Raw genomic sequence first — 27,118 nt, 5'->3', positions numbered from 1 at the left:
TAATATTTTGAGATCGGATCTTGCTATGTTGCCCAGGCTGGACTCAAACTCCTGGGCTCAATCAATCATCCCACCTCAGCCTTCCAAGCAGCTGGGACGACAGAACTGTGCCATATTCTTAAACATCATACAATATTGCCTTTCAGGCATGAAAAGCAAAGGGAATTATTTGTTCATTTGATAGCGCTTTAGTAATGTAAGTGGATACACTTAGGGCTAGCCCTCTGGCTTGTTACCATGGTAAGCTAGGGGAATATAGTTGAGGGGTCTGCAGCAGAGCTTGGAGAGGATCTGGGATGTTAAATTCTCAAGTACTTGAACTTAGCAACAGGACTTGGTCCCATCCACACCCTGCTCTCTACCCCAGCTGGAAATAATTAGTGCTGACTATGGAGGCAAAGAGAAACATACTTGTAAGCTTTTTTGTTTGGATTTTCTTTGGGGTTTCCTTTTTGTCTTTTCTGAACTGGAGGGTGATAGAGAAGGTGCGGAAAAGGTTTGAAACCACTGGCAGGGGTCCACCATACAAGCCCTGAGAAACGCGTGGTAAGTTCTGCCATGTTCCAAGGTGCAAGGAAGCAGGGGCTGCAGCGGGTCCTGCTATGTAATTTCGAGGTGGGAGGCGGGGACGCGTTAACAGAAATGACAAGCAGGGGCTTTGGAAAGACTTCGTGGGGCCTTGGTCATGGGGAGGGTGAAGGCTGCTAACTAGAACGTAGGGAATCTGGAGACAGCTGCCGTTGGAAGGCTGTGGAGGGCTGGGGCGAGTGCAGTGGTAGAGCCGGTCAGGACTGGGTTGAATGAGCAAGCTGCAACTTTGCACTGCCCCGACCCCAAAACTTGTAGTTTATAAAAGATGGAGCAGCAATCTTATTTTCTCCAGGCATCTCAAATCAGTTAGGGGGATGCGGGCCTGGGATGGGAGGGTGTGAGGCTGCTGTAAGCTGGGTGATCAGGGGAGCTGTAGGGAAGTTTACATTTTCCCCCTGAAGCCTTGATAATTTGAGTCTATAAAACAAACATATAGTAAATTAACAGGAAAAAAAAGTATACACTTTTTTTTTTTAAAGACAGGGTCTTGCTCTATCGCCCAGGGTAGAGTGCAGTGGTGCGATCATAGCTCACAGCAGCCTCGACCTCCTGGGCTCAAGCAATCCTCCCGCCTCAGCCTCTGAGTAACTGAGACTACAGGCTTATGCCACACATGGCTGGCATACAAATTTCGCTAACGTGCACACATGTGCATGAGTCATACAAATTATGAAAACTCTTCTGCCATAGGAAAAAAATACATATGAAAACTCAAAAAAAAAAAAGACCATACAGTTAATACTTTTATACCATCTTTTTTTATTTTTTTGAGGGACAGAGTCTCACTGTCACCCAGGCTGGAGTGCAGTGGCGTGATCTCAGCTCACTGCAGCCTCCATCTCCGGGGTTCAAGTGATTCTCCTGCCTCAGCCTCCCAAGTAGCTGGGATTACAGGCATGTGCCACAACATCTGGCTATTTTTTTTTTTTGTATTTTTAGTAGACAGCATTTTGCCATGCTTGCCAGGCTGGTCTTTAACTTCTGGGCTCAAGGGATCTGCCCACCTTGTCCTCCCAAAGTGCTAGGATTACAGGTGTGAGCTACTGCCCCTGGCTGAGTTGATGCTTTTATACCATCTTGATGTTACTGAGGAGTAGGGACTCAGAGCATGGCAAAATAGGTTATGGCAGGGAGGGGAGAGGGAAGGTGAGGGCACAGGTGGGTTAAATCTCACAGGTAGCAGTCCTCAGAGAGAACAGAAGGTAGTCTGTGGTTAAGTGTTTCTCTGTCACATTTTCAAAGGTGTCAGACTCAGTTAATCTCTCCTAGGTCTGGATAGGCGGAGGGCCTCAGAAAAAGCCTAGCTGTTTATTTCATTGCTGCAGATTTTCTCTGCAGATGTACGTCTCCTCCACAAATGGCAACTTGGCAGGGCTATTCCTGCCTGTGGGCCCTCTGAACAGCCATCTCAAAAATATGCCAAAGAAGTATATTTTGAGGTAAAATAGTTTTAGTTTTTTTAAAGCCCTCTCGAAGGAGAGGACATATGAATTGAGAACAGCGATGAGATGAATTTTTATTTTTTAAAGCAATTTTTTATTTTATTTTTGAGACAGAGTTTTGCTCTTGTTGCCCAGGCTGGAGAACAATGGCGTGATCTCGGCTCACTGCAACCTCCGCCTCCCAGGTTCAAGCAATTCTCCTGCCTCAGCCTCCCGAGTAGCTGGGATTACAGGCATGTGCCACCACGCCCAGTTAATTTTTGTATTTTTAGTAGAGACAGGGTTTCACCGTGTTGGCCAGGCTGGTCTTGAACTTCTGACCTCAAATGATCCACCCACCTCGGCCTCCCAAAGTGCTGGGATTAAAGGCGTGAGCCACCGCGCCCGGCCTCCGAGATGGTTTTCATATTTGAATTTTGTTGCATCACATAATCTAGGAAGGAAAGAAAAAAGAAGAGCACCTAATTCCTATATGTCACAGGGTAAGTGGAACACTCTATCCCCTTTCCCTACATTCACCTCTTCGCTCACCGCATCACACTATGAGATAGGTGCTGTTATCCTAACTCAACAGATGAGGAAACTCAGGAAAAGATGATTTAATAGTGTAAAGTTAAGTAGCTTGTAACTGGCAGGTCAGGATTTGCACCAGGCAGACACAGCCTTTTCTAGCGTGTGGAAGAAATATCTATTCCACACCCATCGCTAGGTTCATGGCTAAGACTCCTATCACAGAAGACAGATTAGTAACAGAAAAATAAGCAAATTTATTTAACATAAGTTTCACATGATACAGCAGCCTTCCAAAGGAAGACTCAGGCCCGGGTGAGGTGGATCACACCTCAAATCCCAGTACTTTGGGAGGCCAAGGTGGGAGGATCACTTGAGCCCAGGAATTTGAGACTAGCCTGGGCAACATAGTGAGACCATATCTCTACAAAAAAATGTTTAAAAATTGGCTGGTTGTGGTGGTGCACACCTGCAGTCCCAGCTACTTGGGAGGCTGAGGACACTGCAAGGGAGAGTATTACAGATCAGGCTGGGTGCAGCAGCTCACGCCTGTAATCCCAGCACTTTGGGAGGCCGAGGCTCACTTGAGTTCAGGAGTTTGAGACCAACATGGCCAACATGGTGAAACCCTGTCTCTACTAAAAGTATAAAAATTAGCCAGGCGTGGTGGCACATGCCTGTAATCCCAGCTACTTGGGAGGCTGAGGCAGGAGGATCATTGAACCTGGGAGGTGGAGGTTGCAGTGAGCTGAGATCGTGCACTACACTCCAGCCTGGGTGACAGAGCAAGACTCTGTCTCAAAAAAATGAAAAGTTTCAGACTTTGGAGTATTTCAGATTTCAACTAGAATAAATTTATTATCTAACGGTAACAAACAACTGGGGGACAGTAGGGCAAGAGCTGTCTGTTCCTTCTTCGCCTCTGGGTATAGAGCGAGACCTCTCTGGAATGAGCATCTTATGACCTACTTTCAGACAAAGATAGGTCAGAGCATTCCCTCGTGGCCAGCTCTCACAGTGAGTGACCTTCTTGCTCCTTCAGTTTTCTCAATTGCCAAGTCACCATATTTTAGGGCATTATGTTCTGAGCCCCAACACATAGACAGCATCTACAAAGTCACTGCATAAGTGCCAAGCCAATCAAATCAATAAGCAAACAAATACAACTTAAAAAATAAAATCAAAGTGACTAAGATGGCAAAATAATTTATTTTCTCAAACAATACCAGGTCCAAGGGTAAGGCAATGAATTTACCAAAACCAGCAAGTTCATTACAGCTGGCCTTTCTTCCACCCGTCATCCCCAGTGTGAGCTCATCTTTTTTTTTTTTTGAGATGGAGTTTCACTCTCATTGGCCCAGACGGGAGTGCAGTGGCGCCCTCTCCGCTCACTGTAACCTCCACCTCTCGGATTCAGGCAATTCTCCTGCCTCAGCCTCCCCAGTAGCTAGAATTACAGGCATGCGCCACCACACCCGGCTAATTTTGTATTTTTAGTAGAGACAGGGCTTCTCCATGTTGGTCAGGCTGGTCTTGAACTCCCGACTTCACATGATCTGCCCGCATCCTCCCAAAATGCTGGGATTACAGGCCACCACGCCCAGCTGAGCTGGTCTTCTTAGGCCAGTACTTTCTGTGGTCCCCCGATGGCAGCCACAGTTCCAGCATCCCTTGCAGATGACAAAGTCCAGAGGAAGAAAAAGGATGTCCCTGACTTGGGTGGCTTTAAATAGTGAGGTAAACTTTCCCAGAACATTCCCATCCAACCTCCCTTCTCATCTCTTTGTCTGGTAGTCTGGTGAAGATTCAGCCTCCACGTGTAGGGAGGGGCTTAGCCACCCCTAAAACTCACAGCTGTGTGGAAAAGATCAACAGTACTGGGGTCTCATTAGCAAGCAGGATAGAGAGAATGGTTATGAGGAGGCAAACAACCATGTTTGCCACTGGCGTAAAGGCATGCAAAAGGATGGTATGTTCTGGAAATGATAAGCAGCCAGATAAGAAATTGTCAGGAGAAGGTAATAAAATATGCTGCAGCCCAGTTGTAAAGGAGTTACCGGCCAATATTTGGCTGCCTTGTATGGGTCCATGTTCCTTAAGTTTTCAAAGACAGTGAGATATCAAATAATGTTAGATTTTTAGTATTCCTTTTTTATGTGGTAATCATATAAAATTTCCTTCAAAAAACAAATGCTCAAGGCCGGGTGCAGTGGCTTATGCCTGTAATCCCAGTATTTTGGGAGGCTGAGGAGGGTGGATCGCTTGAGCCCAGGAGCTCAAGACCAGCCTGGGCAACAAAACAAAACCCCATTTCTACAAAAAATATAAAATATTATCTGGGTGTGGTGGCACCGGCCTGTAGTCCAGCTACTCTGGAGGCTGAGGCGGGAAAATCACCTTGTTGCAGTGAGCCTGGGTAACAGAACAAGATCCTGTCTCAAAGGAATTAAAAGAAAAATAAAAAAGGTTCAAAACAAAAATTACACGGCAACATACATGGTAATACAAAAATTCCATAATCTAGGCCAGGCGCGATGGCTCATGCCTCTAATCCCAGCACTCTGGGAGGCCGAGGCAGGTGGATCAATCACCTGAAGTCAGGAGTTCGAGACCAGCCTGGCCAGCTTGGCGAAACCCCTTCTCTACTAAAATTAGCCAGGTGTGGTGGCAGGTGCCTGTAATCCCAGCTACTGGGGAGGCTGAGGCAGGAGAATTGCTTGAACCCGGGAGGTGGAGGTTGCAATGAGCCGAGGTCGTGCCACTGCACTCCAGCCTGGGAAACAAGACCGAAAGTCATCTCAAAAAGAAAAAAATTGTAATCTAGTCATGTCATAGCAGTGAAGAAATAATAGTGTGTATAATTCTTATTTATACTTTTTTATAATTACAAAATAATGCAGGTGCTTTTTCAAAATATAGGAAAATTCAGAGAAGCCCAAAGAATAAAGTAAAAATCACCCGTAATCCCATTACGTGGCTGTAACGACTTGATGTCAAAGCTGGGAGCTCACATACATAGTAATTTGGTATAGTTACAATAGTGATTTTCTTTTTCCTTTGTAAGAATCCACTTCAAATTCAGTTTCTTCTTACTATACTTTTCTGTCAAACAAAGCAAAACTACTGGTCAGTGTAGAAGGGGGAAAAGCAACAAATGCATATGATGGCTTATGAAGTACAACATATTACAATTAGGGAAAGAAATAAGTATTATTGCTGTTGTATTTCTGTTTGACTTACTACTCATACAACTGGTTATCTAAGCCCAAACTCTATAATGTAAGGAAGTAATGAAAACGTCTGTCTTTGAGAGCAGCGAATTCTTTAGTGTGGTTCTGGCAGGGGAAGGAAGCGGGGAAGGGTTCTAAGAAGCGGGGCCCAGTTTCATCCTGGCGAGTTGCAGCTTTCTTCCTGAGCGTGGTGACTCGTCAAGGCACCAAGGCTCAGGAATGAGACAGACATTAGAGCTTGTTCTGGTTGGCACCTCTAGGATAGTTTTGTCTGCACACTGTGCCTCTGAGGAATGGCCTCTACAAAGGGTCAGGATGCCAAAATTCTTTAATCTTTCACTTTCATTTTAAAAATGAAATCTGAATATCTCTCCATCTAATAGCAAACCACAGCGAGACCTTTTTTTTTCTTAATGTCCCGACCTGCCTAGGCAGGAATCCATTATGGTTGTTGTTGATTTTAGTGTTTTGTTTGAAGTCTCCTATTTCTTCATGAATTCTCTTTCACACAAACTTGTTAGTGGCACTCAGTGTCCTCGGTAAACTTTTTGGTTTTTGTTTACGGCTAGCTTTTAAAAATCTATAGACAGGCAAAAAAAATCTCCTGCCGCTAAAAAGCTCCGTGACCTTGGAAAAGTCACTTAACCTCTCTGGAGAAAGCTCAAGTTAGAGGGTCAGAGTAGTGGACTGGAGAGGATTTTAGAGATCAGAGTTCTGCCCTTCCTGTTTACAGATCTGACATTCAGAGAGGCCAGAAGTCACAACAGCTTTCTTGAAGTTTTATTATTTTGATTTTTAAGGAAAGGAGTCCAATGAATTTGCAAATTAACGAAGCAGTGTTTGAAAAGAAAATATGCAAGAGATACTTAAGTGTTAAAGGAAACTAAAGCTTTGAGAACTAGAGATAAGATACTTTAAAGTAACTATCCAAATTGGTTTGTAGGCAGCAAACGTTAACTGTGTAAAATGTGGAGCATTTGATGCACCAAGAAATATTTACTGACTGCCCACTTGGAACTTAAAAGTTCAGTTGGGAACCAAGAAGATAATTATAATGTAATAAGTGCTCTGCCTGATTAAAAACTGCTGTGTTCTCATGAGAACTAGGAAAGGCATTCAGAAGGACATTCCTGACGTCTTCTTGGAAGAGGTCGAACGTAAGCTCGTATCTGAAGGAAAAACCAGAGGAAAGAATATCCCTAACGAGGAATCGATTGCACATGCAAACCCAGGGAACTTGATGGGTTGAATAACTAAAGGAAAAGTGGTCAGGAGGAGGCAGAATTCTGAGACCTGAAAAGGGTGAATAGGAACTCTTATCCTGAGGGGAGATTTGTAAACTGCAGACTGACAGGACCTGCTGGAGGGTTTCCACTCTTCCTCTAAGTGTACACAATAGTTTGGAAACAGAAAAGACAGACCCAGTGAGACTAAGTAGAAACGTATTTCTCCAAATATTTTGACCTACAAAATGCATTTTCCCTGTTGCCCAGTATGTACACAGATCCGGGGACACGCACACACAAACTGAAAGAGGTTTCACAACAAGACTTACTTTTTCTACACAGGATGTACGCTGACATTTTCTACCTAACATTTTGCATTTTCTAAATGGTGAAACTGCATGACTCATCTTATTTCACTACCCACTAAGTGACAACTCAGAGTTGGAGAAACCTTGAGTTAAGGAAGTTGCTGTGATACTCCAGAAGATAACATTAAAACTGTAGGATCTAGGGAAGCAGAAAGATGCACAGAAGGATGTGGAATGACTCCACAGGGATTTAAGAGACTGGAGAGAAGGACCCAAAGGAGTGCTTACAGATAATGCTGAGTTTTGGCTTGAACTCGGGGCAGATAAAGGGATCGTGTACTGAGATGGGGAACCTTAAGTGAAAAATAAGGAGGGTAAAGGTATCACCACTTGAGAAATGCCCGATTCTTTTGTGTGTATGTGTGTGTGTGTGTGCGTGTGCGTGTGTTTGTAAACATAAATATGCTCCTTAATTTGAAGTACATCCCAAGAAAAACATGTAACTCCAGAAAATGTCCAAGTTTTATTAAAAGAAGAAGGGAAATGGCAGAAATGGAAAGAAGGGAATCAGTGGGGAGGAAGGAGTGGGCTCTAGCACTTAGGCACAAGACTCCACTTGGAAAGGACAGGCAAGATTCAAATCCCCGAGGGAACAGACAGCCCATATCAGACTCACCTGATGCTTCACTGCAGCTGCCATGGGGCTTTTATAAGCTGGGAATGGGTTAAGCATAGTCCCAGCTGTTCATTCAGCCACGATGTTGGCAGGAGTTAGCTTCTTTACACATAAAGTTGGCATCAAATTTGGAATTCACAATCACTAGTTCACGAACGTCACAGGCATTTCTTAGGCGCTTCTTATATAAATGGAAATACCATTAACTTTCTTCTTCATGCACGCTCTCTGACAGCATCGGGTCAAAGGAACTTTTTTCCTGCCTCTTTTCATAGCTTCCACCGCCCCATCCTTCTTCTAAATCTTTAATTTTGCAAAGCCATAGGGAGTGGTGGTAGCCTGTGGCGAGTTGAAGATTTTGAACAATAGGTGTTTCTGAGCTGGATTTATTGAAAGGGTCTTGTCTGTGTCCTGGGGGAGATTGTAAATGAGATGTCAACAGGAGCTCTTTTGTGTGGATGGCATTCATCCTGAAAGACAGGAATTCCCTTACTGTGCTAGTATTTAAAGTACATTTGTTGCTGCTTTTGCTAAAACTTTTCATCCAACTGCCGGAGCTAACAGCAATGAATGAGTCACTTGGTGTGATTGTAACTTCCTTCCCTCCTTAGCAAAGCAATGACTCAGTCATTTACATTTAGAAAGGAAGGCTCCTAAGAAGATTTCTTGGATTTTCATCAGCTTGAGCCTCTTTTCTTGACCATCACGTGGGCCTGATCTGTCGGCAATCCTGTTAACCCAGGGTGAGGGGAGTCTAGCCGGGCTGCTTTTCTCACTCCCTGGAAAACTTTTTGCTGTTTTGCTCGTTTCTTTTTTAAATCCAAGGAGAAAGACAAACACAATTTCCTGCCTTAAGCCCTTTTCCTTTCTCTCTCCCTCCGCCTTTTTTTTTGTAAAGGACAGGCAATTTCAGTTTACTATAATTACCCTGGGCTGAGGTTTGACTCACTCCACCTTTAGATGATAAGGCAACCGTTTTATTACTTCGCAGCCAGGTGCCTGAGGGTGACAAGACTTGCCTTTATCTGGTGACCTGACAAGGTTATCAGCAACTGCAAATGGGCTGAACCTCGGAGCAGGGACCATCAAAACGCTTCCCTCTCCTTGATCCATTTCCCAACCCTTTATTGGTAATTCATTTCAATCCGAAGACTAGCTCTAGTTTCTGCAAGTTCTTCCGCATTCCTACACCTTAGCTCTGTCCTCTTGTGTTCTCTTTGGAACACAGGCAGCGGCAACAGCAATCTTAATTATGAGCAGTCAGCTGCCCCCATGAGCCCAGAGCACGACCATGAAGTCTCAACCACAGTCCAGCACACAACACGCAGGATATATTTGCGTCCTCTGGCTTAGTCGATTTGCAGTATTTATAGTTGCTTTTTCAGAGTCGATACTTAATAACGTCTTTGACCTATGATGCTAGAAATCCCTCCAAAATAAAATCGTATTGCTTGTATCTTCTATGGTTCCTTTTGAAAACTGGAATATAATCCGCACCAGGAGGCAGTGCTGTGCTGGAGATAATAAACATATCTAGTGCTCGATCTATTTATATCTGCAGTTCATGAATTTATTTGTCTACCAACACAAGTTTCTTTGTTTTTTTTTTTTTTTTTTTTTTTGGACGGAGTCTCGCTCTGTCGCCCAGGCTGGAGTGCGGTGGCGCGATCTCGGCTCCCTGCAAGCTCCGCCTCCCGGGTTCACGCCATTCTCCTGCCTCAGCCTCCCGAGTAGCTGGGACTACAGGCGCCCGCCACCACGCCCGGCTAATTTTTTGTATTTTTAGCAGAGACGGGGTTTCACTGTCTTAGCCAGGATGGTCTCGATCTCCTGACCTCGTGATCCGCCCGCCTCGGCCTCCCAAATTGCTGGGATGACAGGCGTGAGCCACCGCGCCCGGCCAAAACAAGATTATTCTTTAATTCAAACTGTGTTACGTGCACTGTCTCGGTTATCTGGTGGGTGGGAAATGTGGTATAAAAGCATGCATTTTGGGAAATGGTTTCCAAAAAGTGTGTACTAGGCAAAGCTTGAATGAATGAAGGGTGAGAGTACTTGCAGACACACTTTTAGGTCAGTGTCCTGGGCAGCATCAAAGCTGCGCGGCACCCGGCTTGTACATAGCACGGAGCTGCCACCCTGTAGTGCAAAATTATAGTGGGCCAAGGTAAATCATATGTTTTATTTATTTATTTATTCATTCATTTGAGAAGGAGTCTCGCACTGTAGCCCAGGCTGGAGTGCAGTGGCCCGATCTCCACTCACTGCAATCTCCGCTTCCCGGGTTCAAGCGATTCGCCTGCCTCAGCCTCCTGAGTAGCTGGGATTACAGGTACTCGCCACCACGCCCAGCTAATTTTTTTTTTTTTCCGAGATGGAGTCTCGCTCTGTCACCCAGGCTGGAGTGCAGTGGCGTGATCTGGGCTTGCTGCAACCTCCGCTTCCTTGGTTCAAGCGATTCTCCTGCCTCAGCCTCCCAAGTAGCTGGGATTACTGGGGCAGGCCACCATGACCGGCTAATTTATTTGTATTTTTGGTAGAGACAGGGTTTCACCATGTTGGTCAGGCTGGTCTCAAATTCCCGACCTCAAACGATTGGCCCACCTCGGCCTCCCAAAGTGCTGGGATTATAGGCGTGAACCACCATGCCCAGCCGTAGGTTTTATTTTTCTATCTGTGAAGTCGAACTGTAGCCTGAGGGTAGCAGATGGGAAAGGAGGGGTTGGGAAGAGAATGGAAAAGATGAGTTAAAACACACACACACACACACACACACCCTTGCATATGTGAAGTGTTTATCTGTAAGACCACATCAGATTACTCCATTCTGGGCCAGGCGCAGTGGCTCACACCTGTAAACCCAGCATTTTGGGAGGCCGAGGCGGGTGGATTGCTTGAGGTCAGGAGTTCGAGACCAGCCTGATCAACATGGTGAAACCCCATCTCTACTAAAAATACAAAAGATAGCTGGCATGGTGGCAGGTGCCTGTAATCCCAGCTACTTGGGTGGCTGAGGTGGGAGAATTGCTTTAGCCCGGGAAGTGGAGGTTGCAGTGAGCTGAGATCACATCACTGCACTCTAGCCTGAGCCACAGGGTGAGACTCTGTCTCAAAAAATATATATATCTATATATCTATCTATATATCTATATATCTATATATCTATCTATATCTTTATCTCTATATCTATATATCTATATATCTATCTATATCTATATATCTATATATCTATATCTATATATCTATCTATATATCTATATATATCTATATATCTATCTATATATCTATATATATCTATATCTATCTATATATCTATATATATCTATATATCTATCTATATATCTATATATCTATATATATCTATATATCTATATATATCTATATATATCTATATATCTATATATATCTATATATCTATATATCTATATATATCTATATATCTATATATATCTATATATCTATATATATCTATATATCTATATATATCTATATCTCTATATCTATATAGCTATAGATATCTATATAGATCTCTATAGATATCTATAGATCTCTATAGATATCTATATCTCCATTCTGTAATGTATATAGACATCATTCCACACTGTGGAAAGAAACAGTTCAAATCCCCTACCAGGGCCCTTACTACAATTATAATAAAAACGAATAAAAAGAATGTTTCTGGCCAGGCACGGTGGCTCATGCCTGTAATCCCAGCACTTTGGGAGGCCGAGGCAGGTGGATCACCTGAGGTCCGGGGTTCGAGACCAGCCTGGCCAACATGGTGAAACCCCGTCTCTACTAATACAAAAATAAGCTGGGAGTGGTGGCACTACTCGGGAGGCTGAGGCAGGAGAATTGCTTGAACCGGGGAGGTGGAGGTTGCAGTGAGCCGAGATCGTGCGTGCCATTGCACTCCAGCCTGGGTGACAAGAGAGAAACTCCGTCTCATAAAAAAACAAAAACAAGAAAAAAGAATGTTTCTGAGTACAGTGTGTGAATCACATGCATGGTGATGAACTAATGAACATCCAGAACTCCAACAGGAGACAATGTCAGAAGGATTAACAAATCTGACCTTGACCCTGGGCAACATAGTGAGACCCTGTCTTTACAAACAGTTTTTTAAAACTTAGCTGGATGTGGTGGTGTGCGCTTGTGGTTCCAGCTGTTCCGGAGGCTAAAGTGGGAGGTTCGCTTGAGCCCAGGAGTTAGAGGATGTAGTGAGCCATGATCACACCACTGCACTCCAGCCCTGGCAACAGAGCGAGACCCTGTCTCTTTAAAAAAAAAAAAAAAATTGGCTGGGAATGGTGGCTCACGCCTGTAATCCCAACATTTTGGGAGGCCGAGGTGGGCGGATCACAAGGTCAAGAGATCGAGACCATCCTGGCCCACATGGTGAAACTACATCTCTACTAAAAATACCAAAATTAGCCGGGCGTGGTGGCGCCTCCTGTAGTCCCAGCTACTCGGGAGGCTGAGGCAGGGGAATCGCTTGAACCCGGGAGGTGGAGGTTGCAGTGAGCCGAGATCGCGCCACTACACTCTAGCCTGACAACAGAGTGAGACTGTCTCAAAAAACAAAACAAACAACAAAAAACTCTCTGTCCTTGGAGCTGTCTTTTCTTTAAAGACGTGAAACCTTGCACGCCTGTCACCACTCCATTGCCACCCTCCACAGGTGGGCTTAGTTAGCACAGAGCTCCAGAACCTGAGATGCCTCTGAAGGTGGGAGTAGGATGGCATCCTTCTGCCCCAATTCTAAAAGCCACTAGCCAAACTTGACCTCGGAAACTATTTACAGTGCGGTGATGCCACCTCTCCCTGCAGACAAATTCAAGTACTCCATTAAGGGGCGTTCCCCAGACCTTGCTGGGCATGCCCAGATAAGCCTCCTTTTCATCTGCAAAATTGAGATCCTGACTTCCTATGCAGGATTGTTTTTAATTTAATGAGACTATAGGTAAAGCGCCTGGCTTTATTAAACACTCAACCAACGAGGAGGAGGATGGGGGTTTGTGGAGTAAATTGGTATAGATTTTAGTACTGACTTCACAGGTTCCTAGGTTCCTAGACTGTTTTTATTTAATTTTGGCAAATGACAAGTACCTAACAGAAAGGTAGTATTTTAAACACAGTCTTTGCTGGGCGCAGTGGCTCACGCCTGTAATCCCAGCACTTTGGGAGGCTGAAGGGGGCAGATCACTTGAGATCAGGAGTTCGAGACCAGCCTGGCCAACATGGTGAAACCCCCATCTCTACCAAAAAGACAAACATTAGCCGGGTGTGGTGGCGCCCGCCTGTAGTCTCAGGTACTCAGGAGGCTGAGGCAGAAGGTTGCAGTGAGCCAAGATCATGCCACTGCACAACAGCCTGGGTGACAGAGCAAGACTCTGTTTCAAATAAATAAATACAGTCTTTAAGGGACACTTAAGGAGTAATGGAGGGGACCGGGCGCGGTGGCTCACGCCCTTAATCCCAGCACTTTGGGAGGCCAAGGCAGGCAGATCGCTTGACGTCAGGAGTTCAAGACCAGCCTGGCTAACAAGTTAAAACCTCATCTCTACTAAAAATACAAAAATTAGCTGGGCGGGGTGGCATGCACCTGTAATCCCAGCTACTAGGGAGGCTGAGTCAGGAGAATAGCTTGAACCCAGGAGGCAGAGGATGCAGTGAGCCAAGATTGTGACACTGCACTCCAGCCTGGGTGACAGAGCCAGACTCTGGCTCAAAAAAAAAAAAAAAAAAAAGTAATGGAGGGGGAAAGAGCCCTGGGGTCACCTGGACAAGTTCTTCTCTGGATCTATGTCCTTCTCTATCAGTGACAAAGTTGGATAATGAATGAGACAGAATTTTTTTTTTTGAGATGGAGACTCACTCCACCGCCTGGGCTGGAGTGCAGTGTGGCGCAATCTCAGCTCACTGCAACCTCCGCCTGCCAGGCCTAAACGACTCTCCTGCCTCAGCCTCCCGAGCAGCTGGGACTACAGGCATGCGCCACTACGCCCAGCTACTTTTTGTATTTTTAGTAGAGACAGGTTCACTATGTTGGTTGGCCAGGATGGTCTTGATCTCTTGACCTTGTGATCCACCCACCTCAGCCTCCCAAAGTGCTGGGATTATAGGCGTGAGCCACCGCACCCGGCCCAAGGCATAATTTTTTTAAGCACTAACCCTGTTATCTGAGCATCAGTAAGGAGCTGGTATCCTTTCTGGGCCAAGTGGGCTGATGTAAACAGTATTACACGGGTTACCCAGATACGTTTTTCTGTTTTTCCTTTGAAAACGGCGGTTTCGGGAGGGCAGAGAGAAGGAGGAGGATGAAAAATTAAGTGCCTAACTACACAGATCAGGGGGGCCTGCAGCCTCCCACACGCCTGCTTTCCAGATCCAGGTAATTATTCCTCATCGTGCTGACACCAACAGGAAGGAACGGTGGATGCATTTTCTTTCTTCTTCACTTCACCATGCATCCTGTTTCCCCAGGTTTGGAGGTTTGAGCCGGCCTTGTGCAAAAGCTCCTGTACCAGGTCAAGCCCTGGCTCCAGGCCCTCTGTTCCTAGGGCAGTGGCAGCAATGGGCTGCTTTGGGGGAGGGTCAGCCTTTTCTCCAAAGTCCAGCAAGCCTGCCAGTGAACCAAGGTTACTGATGAATCCACGCTGAAGTCTTGGTGAGGACTCAGCCTGACCGGACTCTCATTAGATGGGACGGACCCTGGTTCATACACAGGCCACTCACTCTGCACAGCCACCCCACTTACTGAAGCAAGAATTGGCAATAAGTGCACAATACCCTGGTCCCATCTTAAAACAACCAGCTACCCCACAGTCTCAGAGTCAGGGATGCTCAAGTACTATTTATTCTGTTTACCAGACATATAGCAGCCGGGCAGGGAGTCTTCATAGCCTGTTGCGTCATGTGATTCCATTCCAGATTTTTCCTTTTATTCCTGTCTCCAAGGCCCCATTGTGCAGGTGCTACTAATTTTCATGAAATGATACTAGGAGGTAAAGAAAGTTCGCTGGCTCTCAGATATCCATCTGTGTGCAAACAGACAGAGTACAGAAAAATAAGTAGAATAACAAAGTTCCTAGTTTTGTGTGGGCTGAGAGTGAAAAAAAAAAGAGTAACGAGGAGTGAAAAGAATGAAGAAGAAAAACAGCTGCACAGGAAAAGGGCAGTGTCACAGGTGCCTCCCACGGTCCTTTGCCGAGAGCCTGTGGGGGAGGCCAAGTGGGGAGAATGGGGGACATCGGGTGGACGACCCAGGGGACCAGCTGGTGTCAGAGAATGGTAGATTAGGATTTGGCCTGCTAGATCATGCTGGCGGCATTGGCCAACATCAAACACGAGGGGGCTCTGGTGACAGGACATGACACTGCACAATCAGAGATCACAGCGAATGGCTTTGCTGAGGTGTCCACTTTACTCCTGCCCCGATCACCTCCCCTTCCTGATTGTTAGTCCTTTTGTTTCTCCAGGAAGTCTCTTCTCATCCCTGTTCACGCCTTCATGTAACAAGCATTTATCACACTAGTACCGTGAGCCACGCGTGTGCTGTGGTTACATCCGTGGAACAGACAGACAGCAGTGCCTGATCTTGTAATTCTTCCATCCTTTCATTCCTTTCTCTCAGTCTGGCCAGAAAAAAAAAAAAAAAGTTCTCCTAACAGAGAATATAGCAACAGGTTGCTGAAAAGTGACATCTGACAAGAAATGAAAGCTGGTTGATAAAAGATTTAAAAGAAAAATGTCAGGCCGGGCTTGGTGGTTCAAGCCTGTAATCCCAGCACTTTGGGAGGCCGAGGCAGACAGATCATCTAAGGTCAGGAGTTCAAGATCAGCCTGGCCCACATGGTGAAACCCCGTCTCTATTAAAAATATAAAAATAAGCTAAGCATGGTGGCGGGCGGCTGTAATTCCAGCTACACGAGAGGCTGAGGCAGGAGAATCGTTTGAACCTGGGAGGCGGAGGTTGCAGTGAGCCGAGATCGCACCACTGCACCCCAGCCTGGGTGACAGAGTAAGACACGGTCTTAAAAAAAAAAAGAAAAGAAAAATGTTCTTTCCTGCTCCTGGCACTCTCCCTGCCCTAGCCTCCTGGGCATGCTATCTCTCAACAAGACCCAGTCTGCCCCAACCAGAGGTGTTGCTAGACCAGCTGCCCAAACAGGAAACCTTATATAATTCTGTAACCCTGACCTTGGGCCTGAATCTTCCCCTTCTGTAAACAGTCCATTCAACCCAGGAAGACCTGCAGACCTGGTTGGGACACATTTTGAAAAACACACACATTGTTAAAAATGTTGAAAAAAGTCCCTAGGTCTAAGAGGAAGTGTTCTGTCTGACTCAGCAGTAGAAATCACTTCATATAAAGTAATGGAACAAATGGAAATTTAATCCTAACAGATGTAACAGGGCAGTCACTTGTGTACACGGATGACTTGATTGCACCTGTTGGAAAGGCTGGGAAAATGAGCCGTGAAATCCTGATCACATTCCCTACTGGAAGCAGCACTCCTGCCTTGCAAATTAGTAAGCCTGATGTTCTCAACATCCTGACTTCAACATGTGTGCCCTAGTTCTGTGCAGGCCATGACTCACTTTAGCTACTGGTCAAATGATTCTTACTCAGAGCCCTAGGTTTCTAATCTTTAGTGTTAAGTGGTCCAGGCACATACTAGCCAAATGTCTGTCTACTTCCTTTTTTTTTTCTCATGCCTGTTTCCCAGTCTGTGTCCTTTCAAGATACTCCCTTGAAATGACTGATTTCAGGCAACAACTGGATTTACATATGGTAGCCTTCAACTTCCTGTTTAACTTACTGCCAAACTTCAATAGAAGTCCAGATTAGAAGTTTTAGACCTCAGCCTCTGGCCCTGGGCCTTCTGAAATGACCTTCCTCCAAACACCATTTAATTTCCGCTAACTTAGTTAATGAATGGAACTTTCTGAAGACAGCAGTTACTTTGATCTGAACCCCTTTCCTAGTTTCCAGTTAACATAGCCAGAGGGAGACAGAAGGGGTGCCCGCCTCTCAATGGGTGCCCTCTCCTCCTGCGTGGCTGGAGCAGCTCCCAGCTGTAGCTATTCCTCTAACGCAGAGAGAGCTGCAGAAAGCAGTTCCCAAAAGGAAGAAGGCAAGTTACAAATACCGCCGTTGGCATTTTCGTGGGTGTTTCCCGCCACATAGAGATAAAAGCTTTGAGGTGGGGCTTTGAGGCACACTCTCTGGGTAGCTGGGCCTGCAGTCTGGAAATCCTAAGTAATCCTTGCAAATAGGCTAACTGGAAGCCAGCAATACAAATGAGCAGTGCTTCTGGCCTGAGAGAAAGGTGTCTGCATTCAAAGTACAACTTCAGATAAAAATGGAAAATGCCAGTCCCACCCTGCAGGAATCCTGTTTCTGGGCTGTTTATCCTCACTGCCATCCACCCTACCCTTGGCTGTGACTAGGATGTGAAGAAAGAGATTGGGTGGAAAAGGCTACCGCAGCTCTTGCTCCGTTTAACTCACCACCTTAAAAAACATGGCCTTGGCTGCTGCTTTAAAACAACAACAACGAAAATCCCCAGCCCCAACCCAGAGGTTTAACCCTGCAGCTAAGGTGAAGTTTTTGTTAAGGTGATAAGGTAAAAAAGGACGCCATTCTGAGCCTTGACTTCCACTCTTCATACTTTTCGGAAGACAAGTCCAGCAAAGACCTCCACCCCTTCCAAAGAGCGACTTACCTCGTAGCTGATCCACAGATTGCAACGTACAGATGTGATGTTCCAGGCTTGGCCACAAGGGGACACTAGAGAGTAGGACTGCCCGCGTCAATGTTTTGTTTTTTACAGACTTTTGGTTGGGAGGGAGGGAGGGAGGGAGGGGGGTGTGGGAGTGGTGGGGGAGATGCTGGCTTTAAAAAAAAGTCCATTTGTTCCCTGAGATTGTGCCACTTGCCCTTTTATAAGTCAAAGGTTGCCACGTTACCTGTTGCCAGGTTCCTGAGAGTGCTTGGGGAAAATGTGGGCGAGAGAGGCACAGCACAGTCCTCCGGCTTGGTAGGTTTCAAGCTCTTTTGACTGGGCTGGCGCTGACATTTGCAGGGGCAGCTGCTGTGGATTGCCTGCGCATTGTTTGGCTGTAGTTCTAACAGAGGAGTGGCTGCGTCTGACATCATTTCCAGGCATCAAGTGCCTGGGGCTTTTTTTTTTTTTTTTCTTTAATGACGAACTCTCTGACCCCTCCCTGCCTGGATTTTTGTACAGTACATGCACTGTGCAAAACAGCCTCCACTCAGGAAGCCCAAGTTTTGTAGCAGCTTGTTGAAACAACTTGGGTGCCTTTTAAAAAAAATAAAGTTGTGACTCTGAAACAAACCTTTCCATTCTTCCTCCTTGCTGAGAACAATGTTGCGTTTGATTAGCAGCGCAGCCAGTGCTTTCTGAAAGATCTGCTCTCCCCAGAAGAGGCGGCTGCTATCAGTTGAATAGATCTCTAGGCCAGACATGCCGAGGCTTGGGGCATTTGTCTGGCGTTAGGAAGTGTCTGGAATACTAGCAACTACCAACTGGCGTGTCTTATGACTACAGGAATTATTACACTACCCTCCATTTCATTCACATCCCCTCTCCTCCCCTTACACACACACACAAGCATATTTTTTTCTACTTTAGAAAAAGTTGAGCGAGTCATCTTGTGGTTTCCGTGGAGGATGTAACTGGGAGAGAAGACTGTGGGATACCTTGTATCTCCCAGAGGGGGGCCGGGAATCATGGTGTATGACCCACCCCAACAGCCTCTGATCTCTGCCTTCTCACCACTGACCGCCACGCTTTGGGTGGCCTTAAATGTGAAGCTGTAAATATTTTGAAATAAGGTAGTGATTTTTCCATGTGCATTTTGTTTTGTGGCATTTCTCTCCTTCTGCAATATTTTAAAAGTTGCAACTGTGCACCCCTTGTTGACCACTCCAAATTCATTCATTCACTGAAACTTAAGAGTTCCTGCAGAGTGAGGATGGCTGTGCACGAAGGAGTCCCTCGTGGAAACCACGGTGCTTTAGTGGACAAGGTGTTTACTAGAGAGTGTTTACTGGCGGGGGGCGGGGGAGATAAACAAAGGTGGTTTGAGTTAATGGTCAGATGGGAGTTGGAGCCCTGAGTACTCTAACTCTGTCACTGAATCTCTAGATGAGTTAGGGATGTCCGTTGCCTGCTCTGAGCCTTAATATTTTCATCAGTTAAATGGGGATAGTGGGATCTTTCACATATGTGAGATCATGTCTATTTTCTTCTTTTTCTTTTCTTTTCTTTCTTTTTTTTCTTTTTCTTTTTCTTTTTCTTTTTCTTTCTTTCTTTTTCTTTTTTTTTTTTTTTTTTTTTTTTGAGGCAGGGTCTTGCTCTGTCACCTAGGCTGGAGTGCAGTGGCACAGTCATGGCTCATTGCGGCCTCCACCTCCCAAGCTCAAGTGATCCTCCCACCTCAGCCTACCGAGTAGCTGAGACTTCAGGCGTGCACCACCATGACCAGCTAGTTGTTGTTGTTTGGGTTTTTTTGAGACGAGGTCTCACTCTGTTGCCCAGGCTGGTCTCCAACACCTGGGCTAAAGCGATCCTTATGCTTCAGCCTCCCAAAGTGCTGGGATTACAGGTGTGAGCCACCACACCCAGCCCCCATGTCTATTAAGTTCTTAGCACAGTGTCCAGTACACAGAGTAAGGATTTGCTCTCTGGTGATTAGGAAGATCTAATGGCATGTCACGGGTCTGGACTGAATCTCATCTCATCATCTTTGTTGTTGCCAGGGTTTGCGCATTTTTGCCGGTGGAGGACTCCAGCCAGACCGCTGATTTGTCTGGCATTTGTTGGAAAGTCCGGCCAGCATAACACATCACCGCAAGGAGCAGGAGCCCTATGATGCACTGTTAAGTGCACAACTATGGGGTCTGCTTGGCTGGAAGCAGCAGCAGCAAACTTGTCTATTAGTTATTTTGTCCTCATCAGTGCCAGCTGCTTTCCCAAGATGGCAGAACATTCATCATTGCTACCAGACAGCCTCGTTGGAGCTCTTTCTCTGGCCTCCTTTTTTGGCTTCTTTCTTCAGCTCTTCAGCATCATTCTCTGTGGGACCCTCCCTAGTTTGCAAATTCTTGTCTAAATTTCACTCATTATCATAACCATCCAATTTGAAAGAAACCTTGTCATCTAGTTGAGCCCCCTATCAGATGTTGGTACAATTGCTATAGCCTCCCAGCCAAAAGATGTGCTGGTCTGTGCTTGAACAGGTCCAGGGGCTGAGAACTCCCTCTGTTATGAGGTCCTCATATTCCTTCTATGGACGGACAATCAATGCCTGGAGAATTATTCTTTATGCCTCTCTGAGCCCTTGCCTTTGTTGTTCCTTTGGGGACTTATACAAAACAGGCCCATGCTATCCTCTAAGCAAGAGCCCTCCAAATAATTGAAAACCCCCCTTTCTTCTTTTCCAAATGAAACACCCCGTCTTTTTATTTTTATTTTTTGTTTTTTATTTTTGACGTAGTCTTGCTCTGTCGCCAGGCTGGAGTGGTGTGATCTTGGCTCACTGCAACCTCAATCTTTTGGGCTTCAGCAATCCTCCCGCCCCAGCCTTCCAAGTAGCTGGGACTACAGGTGCCACCTACTTGGAAGGCTGGGGCAGGATTCTACCACTCCTGGATAATTTTGTGGAGATGGGTTTCACCATGTTGCTCTAGCTGGTCTCAGACTCCTGAGCTCAAAGAGATCCTCCCACCTGGACCTCTCAAAGTGCTGGGATTACAGGAATGAGCCACCGCAACAGGCCTAGGTCCATACTTCTAATCCTACATGCCTTTCCTGAAATAGACACCTTACCTGACATTACAACCATAAGTCCAATCGTTCCCATTCTGTATTTCTACAATAGAAATACATTTATGTCCCCAGTTTAGGTCCTTCCAAGTTTCTTTTTTTTCTTTTGGCCTCTTCACATCATTTTGTTTTCTAAAATAGCCTGTGGCTTCAAGTTACCTCTTGAATATATTCTTAATCTCACTTGTACTACCTCTGCCCTGTTCCCTGGATTTGCAAATGTTCTTTTCAGTGCTTCTCAGCCTATCTCTGGTAAGGGACCAGTTTGTTTGTTTGCCCTCAATCTGCTGCAGATTAGTGCTTTGGTAAAATGCAACAAAAAAGAATTACTAGAAAGAGGACTTTTTTTTTAAGACATACAAAAAACAAACCCATAATTTTTGTTTTGTTTTGTTTTGTTTTTAGATTCAACAGGTAAAACACTCTATAAAATTGCTATAAAAGTTTCTAAACACTTACATTCAATTTTCTTTGTTTTTTTTTTTAGACGGGGTTTCATTCTTGTTGCCCAGGCTGGAGTGCAATGGCACCGTCTCGGCTCACTACAACCTCTGCGGCTCACTGCAACCTCTACCTCCCGGGTTCAAGCAATTCTCCTGCTTCAGCCTCCTGAGTAGCTGGGATTACAGGCATGTGCCACCACCCCCGGCTAATTTTTGTATTTTTAGTAGAGACAGGGTTTCACCATGTTCGCCAGGATGGTCTCAAACTCCTGACCCCAGGTGATCCACTGGCCTCGACCTCCCAGAGTGCTGGGATTACAGGTGTGGGCCACCGTACCTGACCCTACACTCAATTTTCATAGCATGTGTCACCCTGCACTGTGACACAGTTTGCAAACGGGCACCACTCTGCAGACCAGGCTTTGAATAACCCTGCTCTGTACACACAGGGGTGTTGGAAATGCTTAACAACCGGCTCTCTGATTGAAGAAAATCCACAGGGGGGAACCTGGATTTCAGGCATTTGCTGATTTCCATGGTGTAAATACACCAAGGTCAACAATTTCAAGCTAACAGTGAAAAGTGACTGAATACAGAGGTAGAAAGAAATGTGCACAATCGAGCTTAGCAAGCTGAGAAGGGCCAGTTCCAGCACGCTTCTGTCAACCCCATTAGATTTTAAAAATCTTTTTAATAAAGCCCTTTTGGCCAGGCACAGTGACTCACACGTGTAATCCCAACACTTTGGGAGGCTAAGGGAGCTGGATCACCTGAGGTCAGGAGTTCGAGACCAGCCTGACCAACATGGTGAAACCCCATCTCTATTAAATAAAAAAAATTAGCCTGGTGTGGTGGCACATGCCTGTAATCCCAGCTACTCAGGAGGCTGAAGCAGGAGAATTGCTTGAACCTGGGAGGTGGATGTTGCAGTGAGCCGAGACGGTGCCATTGCGCTCCAGCCTGGGCAACAAGAGCGAAACTCTGTCTCAAATAAAGAAATAAAGGCCTTCTTTTTGAGGGCTTGTTGAACAACTGCTGATCACCTGGACCAAATCGGGAGAACTTTGCCCTCAGCAGATTTTAGACAGTGGACCAAGGCAGCCCTTCTCTCTGGTAGTCTTCATCTCAGTAAGATGACACCATCTGATAGAACTCACAGCAAATCCAAGGTTGCTTTCCCCATGAGCTCTGTGTAGGCGCTGCCACTTCTCAAGGATGATCAAATCACAGCTTGCTTGATAATAGCTGCACTTAATAACAACGCCTTGGGGTAACAACATGTTTACATCAAAAAGATGTTACTTGACTCTGGGACATCTGCATATATATCTATATATAATTTAATTTATATATAAGTTTAATTACTTTGTCTTATTGTGTTTTTATTTGTGGTTCCTTATGGACTTGCTCTCTCATGTTTTAAAGAATTTCTAAAATGCAGTAATCAGGAACTGCTAAATAGTTGCTCTACATAGCTTATGGTGTATGATCCATTCGCTTAGCTGGTAAGGGTTTATGAATAAAAAGGCACAAAAAGGGAGTTTGATCTCACATCTGTTTTGTGGCCGCCTGACACTTGTGTGCTGTTAAACTTGAAGGATAACCAGAGTGGAAAGAGAGTCTGGATAATTTGCCAGAACATCTTCACCACTACAGAATAAAATAATCTCTGGCCCAGGCCTTCCTGAAGCTTGCAACACTTTCTTTTTTTCTTTTTTTTCTTTTTTTCAGACGGAGTTTCATTCTGTCGCCCAGGCTGGAGTGCAGAGGTACGATCTTGGCTCACTGCAACCTCTGCCTCTTGGGTTCAAGCAGTTCTCCCGCCTCAGCCTCCCAAATAGCTGGGATTACAGGCGCCTGCCACCACGCTGGGTTAATTTTTTTTTATATATTTTTAGTAGAGACGGGGTTTCACCATGTTGACCAGGCTGGTTTCGAACTCGCGACCTCAAATTATCCCCTGCCTTGGCCTCCTAAAGTGCCAGGATTACAGGCATAAGCCACCGCGCCTGGCCGCATTATCTTTCCATACAAATGTAGGCAATATTCAATCATGAGCTAGCTCGAAGCTGAAATGATAGGAATGTGTTGTTTTCTCTATAATGTCTTTCTTTCTTTTTTCTTTTTTTTTTTTTTGAGATGGAGTCTCGCTCTGTCGCTCAGGCTGGAGTGCAGTGGCGCGATCTTGGCTCACTGCAACCTCCGCCTCCCGGGCTCAAGCAATTCTCCTGCCTCAGCCTCCTGAGTAGCTGGGAATACAGGCACACACCACCACGCCTGGCTAATTTTTGTATTTTTAGTAGAGATGGGGTTTCAACATGTTGGCCAGGATGGTCTTGATCTCCTGACCTTGTGATCCACCTGCCTCAGCATCCCAAAGTGCTGGGATTACAGGAGCGAGCCACCGCACTCTGCCGTATAATGTCTTTCTTAAAAATATAACTTTTTTTTTTTTTGAGACGGAGTTTCATTCTTATTGCCCAGGCTGGAGTGCAATGGCGCAATCTCGGCTCACCGCAACCTCCGCCTCCCAGGTTCAAGTGATTCTCCTGCCTCAGCCTCCCGAGTAGCTGGGGTTAGATGCATGTGCTGCCACGCCTGACTAATTTTGTATTTTTAGTAGAGATGGGGTTCCTCCATGTTGTTCAGGCTGGTCTCGAACTCCCAACCTCAGGTGATCTGGCCGCCTCAGCCTCCCAAAGTTCTGGGATTACAGGCGTGAGCCACAGCGCCCGGCCCCAAAAATATATAACTTCTTAAATGTAAATACCAACCTCTGGTCTCTCTGTGCACTACAGTATCCACTGAATGAAAATGTCACTGAAATCTGCAGCTCTAGTTCTGCAACTCTCTCATAAATGGATAAGAGTCCTTTCAGCCAGATGAGGAAAAAAATAATTTCATTTGAAATGAACAAAAAACTTATCAGGGCAAAGGAAAGCAGTAATGGTGATAAAAAATACAGCATCATTTCTTTTTTCAAGTTCCACTTACATTTTAAAAATCATTGTTTTTGAGAACGTCATTCTGTGTCTGGAATTTATTCCTTCTTGTGGGTTCCTGGTCTTGCTGACTTCAAGAATGAAGCCGCGGACCCTCATGGTGAGTGTTACAGCTCTTAAAGCTGGTGTGTGCGGAGTTGTTTGTTCCTCCCGGTGGGTTAGTGGTCTCGCTGACTTCAGGAATGAAGCCACAGACCCTCACAATGAGTGTTACAGCTCATAAAGGTAGTGTGGACCCAAAGAGTGAGCAGCAGCAAGATTTATTGTGAAGAGCGAAAGAACAAAGCTTCCACAGCATGGAAGGGGACCCAAGCGGGATTGCTGCTGCTGGCTGGGGTGGCCAACTTTTATTCCCTTATTTGTCCCCGCCCACGTCCTGCTGATTGATCCGTTTTACAGAGTGTTGATTGGTCCGTTTTTACAGAGTGCCGATTGGTGCGTTTACAATCCTTTAGCTAGACACAGGTGCTGATTGGTGCGTTTACAATCCTTTAGCTAGAAAAGTTCTCCAAGTCCCCACTCGACCCAGGAAGTCCAGCTGGCTTCACCTCTCAATTCTTGCAGGGAGCGGTGGCTCATGCCTGTAATCCCAGCACTTTGGGAGGCCGAGGCAGGTGAATCACCTGAGGTCAGGGGTTTGAGACTAGCCTGGCCAACATGGTGAAACTCTGTCTCTACTAAACCCACAAAAATTAGCCAGGCATGGTGGCGCAGGCCTGTAATCCCACCTACTCCAGAGGCTGAGGCAGGAGAATTGCTTGAACCCGGGAGGCAGAGGTTGCAGTGAGCCGAGATTGCACCATTGCACCTGGGCGACAAGAGCGAAACTCCGTCTCAAAATAAAAAGAGAACGTCACTCTTAAACAAATCAGATGTTTCACTTACTGTATAGAAACTGCTCGTTTTCTCTTTTTCTCTTTCTCATTTTCTCTTTCTGTTTTGACCAGGCAAGACAAACATATTGGCTGGTGTTTCACCCTCCTTCAGTCTCACTCTTATGTGTCACACACCTGCTGGTGCTCAGACCTTCTCAGTGGGTTCTAAATCTTTCCTGGCACTGAATTCTGAGAGTAGAACTGAAACCAACCAACCAACAAACAAAATACCCTTAGGAGAGAAGTGTGGGTTTAGGGCTTAGCAAATCTAGGAAAGGGGGATGTTGGGGAAAATGGAAGGATTTCGTTGTATGAGTTTTGGAGTGCAGAAGAATTGGAAAATGAAGAAGGGGAACTATGGGGAAGTGTGAGTTGTGATTTGAATCCCTTTCCTCTCCTTCAAATGGCAATCTTAAGCCGGGCATGGTGGCATGCGCCCGTTGTGCCACCTATTCAGCAGGCAGAGGGGGAGGATCTCTTAAATCTGGGAGTTCAAGGCCAGCGTACACAGCACAGTGAGATCCCGTCTGTAGTTGAAAAAAAAAAAGCAGTCATGAAGATTTGAATTCCTTTTACCTTCCTAGCCCATGACTGGACAGTGCCGCTCACTGCAGTGAAGCCTCATAATAACGAGTAAAGTCCCTCAGCATAACAGCATGGGAGATGGTTCCTGTCCTTAAGTCTCATAATAATGAGTAATGCCCCTCCGTATAACAACATGGGAGATGGTTCCTTTCCTTAAGCCTCATAATAATGAGTAATGTCCCTCCGTATAACAACATGGGAGATGGTTCCTGCCCTCCATTCAGCTCCCTTATTCGAAGTTGGGGGGGATCTCAAAATCTTATCTTCTTTGGGTGTTGGGGGCTGGACCACCCTGTTGGAGAAGCCATGTCTCCAGTATTCTCCCTGTCCAGTCTAACCATGGTAGATGTCAAGCATTACTGGAACTCTGCCAATGTCCCTGTTGAGCAAGGTATCCAGAGTTATCCCTATCGATAGCGAAGATGAGCTGACAACAGCCACCAGGTGGCGTCCAATTGCAGTTGGCCTGGGGAGTGTAGGAGCCGCACTGGAGGCTCAGTCCCCAAGGTCAGTCATGCGTTGGAAACAATGTGAACTAGCCCCTCCCACCCCCACTTATCACATCATGGCAGGATTTTTACTGTATGTCACAGCAAATCAAATGATTCCATATTTGGCTGAATTATCTAGCTTTTTTTTGGAGGGGGACTGTTTGGTTTTGTTTTCTAATTGTGTAGAGATGGGATCTCGTTATCTTGCCCAGGCTGGTCTGCAACTCCTGGACTCAAGCAGTCCTCCCACCATAGTCTCCCAAAACGCTGGGATGACAGGTGTGAACCACTGTGCCTGGCCTCACTGTCCAGTTTGGATTATCCACACTAAAAGAAGAAACCAAGGAGAGCTAACAAGAAGCAATACATAATCCAAAAGATCAGACATTTGATGTTGGAATATGTTATTTAGCTTCTTGAAATATCAGTGGGCGGAATGTCCTGAGAATCCATTTTGAACAAAATAGTGAGTTCACGTTGTAAAGACATGTCTTAGGAGAAGTGGTACAATGCTGTAGTTTCATTCAATTTTAGCAGGGAGAGGTTCTATCCTAATTATGGCTCCCACCCACTCTGGGTCTTCAGCTGAATCACTGAGATGAGCGTTACTCCCAGCAGGACTACCATCACTCATGCCTCTCTGGGAACCAGAGCTCCACCATGGTTTGGATGCAAGAAACTAAATTGAGTGAGGCAAGATATTTACAATGTATATGCACTGGCATTGTTTAGCCAGAGGCTTAGCTGTGGGCTAGTGGGAAGAACCTGAGGCTGGCTGGCTCGCTCCTGACTCTGCACCTTGCAAGCACTGTATTTTCCCTGAGTCGTATTTCCTGTCAGGTGCATTAGCTAAAAAATGAGGAAGTCGACACTTATTGTTGA

The 27,118-nt window shown here is 45.7% G+C and overlaps 1 protein-coding gene and 2 long non-coding RNA genes across 35 annotated transcripts in view, besides 14 other annotated features; 1 reads left to right on the top strand and 2 right to left on the bottom strand.

Annotated features, from left to right (window-relative positions):
• Nucleotides 1-27,118, top strand: part of DLGAP1 (DLG associated protein 1) — a 959,276-nt gene that overhangs the window by 843,109 nt on the left and 89,049 nt on the right. The window lies entirely within an intron of this gene.
• Nucleotides 736-1,246: an enhancer, noted in NCBI's record as "H3K27ac-H3K4me1 hESC enhancer chr18:3610951-3611462 (GRCh37/hg19 assembly coordinates)". NCBI's record gives its function as "activates a minimal SCP1, AML or CMV promoter by ChIP-STARR-seq in naive H9 embryonic stem cells {active_cell/tissue: H9 hESC(naive)}" and the evidence as "EXISTENCE:reporter gene assay evidence [ECO:0000049][PMID:30033119]".
• Nucleotides 2,110-8,462, bottom strand: DLGAP1-AS2 (DLGAP1 antisense RNA 2). The gene is made up of 3 exons (NR_119377.1): nt 7,984-8,462; nt 5,559-5,645; nt 2,110-2,466 (listed from the first exon to the last, which is right to left on the bottom strand). It is a non-coding gene; the product is annotated as a DLGAP1 antisense RNA 2 (long non-coding RNA).
• Nucleotides 6,058-6,127: an enhancer, noted in NCBI's record as "active region_13053". NCBI's record gives its function as "activates an Ori minimal core promoter by ATAC-STARR-seq in GM12878 lymphoblastoid cells {active_cell/tissue: GM12878}" and the evidence as "EXISTENCE:reporter gene assay evidence [ECO:0000049][PMID:35858748]".
• Nucleotides 7,406-7,475: an enhancer, noted in NCBI's record as "active region_13052". NCBI's record gives its function as "activates an Ori minimal core promoter by ATAC-STARR-seq in GM12878 lymphoblastoid cells {active_cell/tissue: GM12878}" and the evidence as "EXISTENCE:reporter gene assay evidence [ECO:0000049][PMID:35858748]".
• Nucleotides 7,672-8,871: an enhancer, noted in NCBI's record as "P300/CBP strongly-dependent group 1 enhancer chr18:3603326-3604525 (GRCh37/hg19 assembly coordinates)". NCBI's record gives its function as "activates an origin of replication core promoter dependent on BRD2, BRD4, P300/CBP, MED14 and CDK7 cofactors, with strong dependence on P300/CBP, by STARR-seq in HCT116 cells {active_cell/tissue: HCT116}" and the evidence as "EXISTENCE:reporter gene assay evidence [ECO:0000049][PMID:35650434]".
• Nucleotides 7,672-9,441: a biological region, named in NCBI's record as "P300/CBP strongly-dependent group 1 enhancer GRCh37_chr18:3603326-3604525".
• Nucleotides 7,853-8,646: an enhancer, noted in NCBI's record as "OCT4-NANOG-H3K27ac hESC enhancer chr18:3603551-3604344 (GRCh37/hg19 assembly coordinates)". NCBI's record gives its function as "activates a minimal SCP1, AML or CMV promoter by ChIP-STARR-seq in naive and primed H9 embryonic stem cells {active_cell/tissue: H9 hESC(naive and primed)}" and the evidence as "EXISTENCE:reporter gene assay evidence [ECO:0000049][PMID:30033119]".
• Nucleotides 8,647-9,441: an enhancer, noted in NCBI's record as "OCT4-NANOG-H3K27ac-H3K4me1 hESC enhancer chr18:3602756-3603550 (GRCh37/hg19 assembly coordinates)". NCBI's record gives its function as "activates a minimal SCP1, AML or CMV promoter by ChIP-STARR-seq in naive and primed H9 embryonic stem cells {active_cell/tissue: H9 hESC(naive and primed)}" and the evidence as "EXISTENCE:reporter gene assay evidence [ECO:0000049][PMID:30033119]".
• Nucleotides 9,442-10,236: an enhancer, noted in NCBI's record as "NANOG-H3K27ac-H3K4me1 hESC enhancer chr18:3601961-3602755 (GRCh37/hg19 assembly coordinates)". NCBI's record gives its function as "activates a minimal SCP1, AML or CMV promoter by ChIP-STARR-seq in primed H9 embryonic stem cells {active_cell/tissue: H9 hESC(primed)}" and the evidence as "EXISTENCE:reporter gene assay evidence [ECO:0000049][PMID:30033119]".
• Nucleotides 14,820-18,085, bottom strand: DLGAP1-AS1 (DLGAP1 antisense RNA 1). The gene is made up of 3 exons (NR_024101.1): nt 17,959-18,085; nt 17,715-17,779; nt 14,820-15,620 (listed from the first exon to the last, which is right to left on the bottom strand). It is a non-coding gene; the product is annotated as a DLGAP1 antisense RNA 1 (long non-coding RNA).
• Nucleotides 14,971-15,942: an enhancer, noted in NCBI's record as "H3K27ac-H3K4me1 hESC enhancer chr18:3596255-3597226 (GRCh37/hg19 assembly coordinates)". NCBI's record gives its function as "activates a minimal SCP1, AML or CMV promoter by ChIP-STARR-seq in primed H9 embryonic stem cells {active_cell/tissue: H9 hESC(primed)}" and the evidence as "EXISTENCE:reporter gene assay evidence [ECO:0000049][PMID:30033119]".
• Nucleotides 15,943-16,913: an enhancer, noted in NCBI's record as "H3K27ac-H3K4me1 hESC enhancer chr18:3595284-3596254 (GRCh37/hg19 assembly coordinates)". NCBI's record gives its function as "activates a minimal SCP1, AML or CMV promoter by ChIP-STARR-seq in primed H9 embryonic stem cells {active_cell/tissue: H9 hESC(primed)}" and the evidence as "EXISTENCE:reporter gene assay evidence [ECO:0000049][PMID:30033119]".
• Nucleotides 16,666-16,765: an enhancer, noted in NCBI's record as "active region_13051". NCBI's record gives its function as "activates an Ori minimal core promoter by ATAC-STARR-seq in GM12878 lymphoblastoid cells {active_cell/tissue: GM12878}" and the evidence as "EXISTENCE:reporter gene assay evidence [ECO:0000049][PMID:35858748]".
• Nucleotides 17,034-17,328: a silencer, noted in NCBI's record as "tiled region #8249; HepG2 Repressive non-DNase unmatched - State 1:Tss". NCBI's record gives its function as "represses a minimal TATA promoter and a strong SV40 promoter by Sharpr-MPRA in HepG2 cells {active_cell/tissue: HepG2}" and the evidence as "EXISTENCE:reporter gene assay evidence [ECO:0000049][PMID:27701403]".
• Nucleotides 18,326-18,445: an enhancer, noted in NCBI's record as "active region_13050". NCBI's record gives its function as "activates an Ori minimal core promoter by ATAC-STARR-seq in GM12878 lymphoblastoid cells {active_cell/tissue: GM12878}" and the evidence as "EXISTENCE:reporter gene assay evidence [ECO:0000049][PMID:35858748]".
• Nucleotides 25,092-25,261: an enhancer, noted in NCBI's record as "active region_13049". NCBI's record gives its function as "activates an Ori minimal core promoter by ATAC-STARR-seq in GM12878 lymphoblastoid cells {active_cell/tissue: GM12878}" and the evidence as "EXISTENCE:reporter gene assay evidence [ECO:0000049][PMID:35858748]".

The sequence above is a fragment of the Homo sapiens genome, chromosome 18, assembly GCF_000001405.40.
Source record: "Homo sapiens chromosome 18, GRCh38.p14 Primary Assembly".
NCBI lineage: Eukaryota > Metazoa > Chordata > Mammalia > Primates > Hominidae > Homo > Homo sapiens.
Note: the sequence above shows the minus strand (reverse complement) of the source record. Positions and strands in the feature narration are given on the sequence as shown.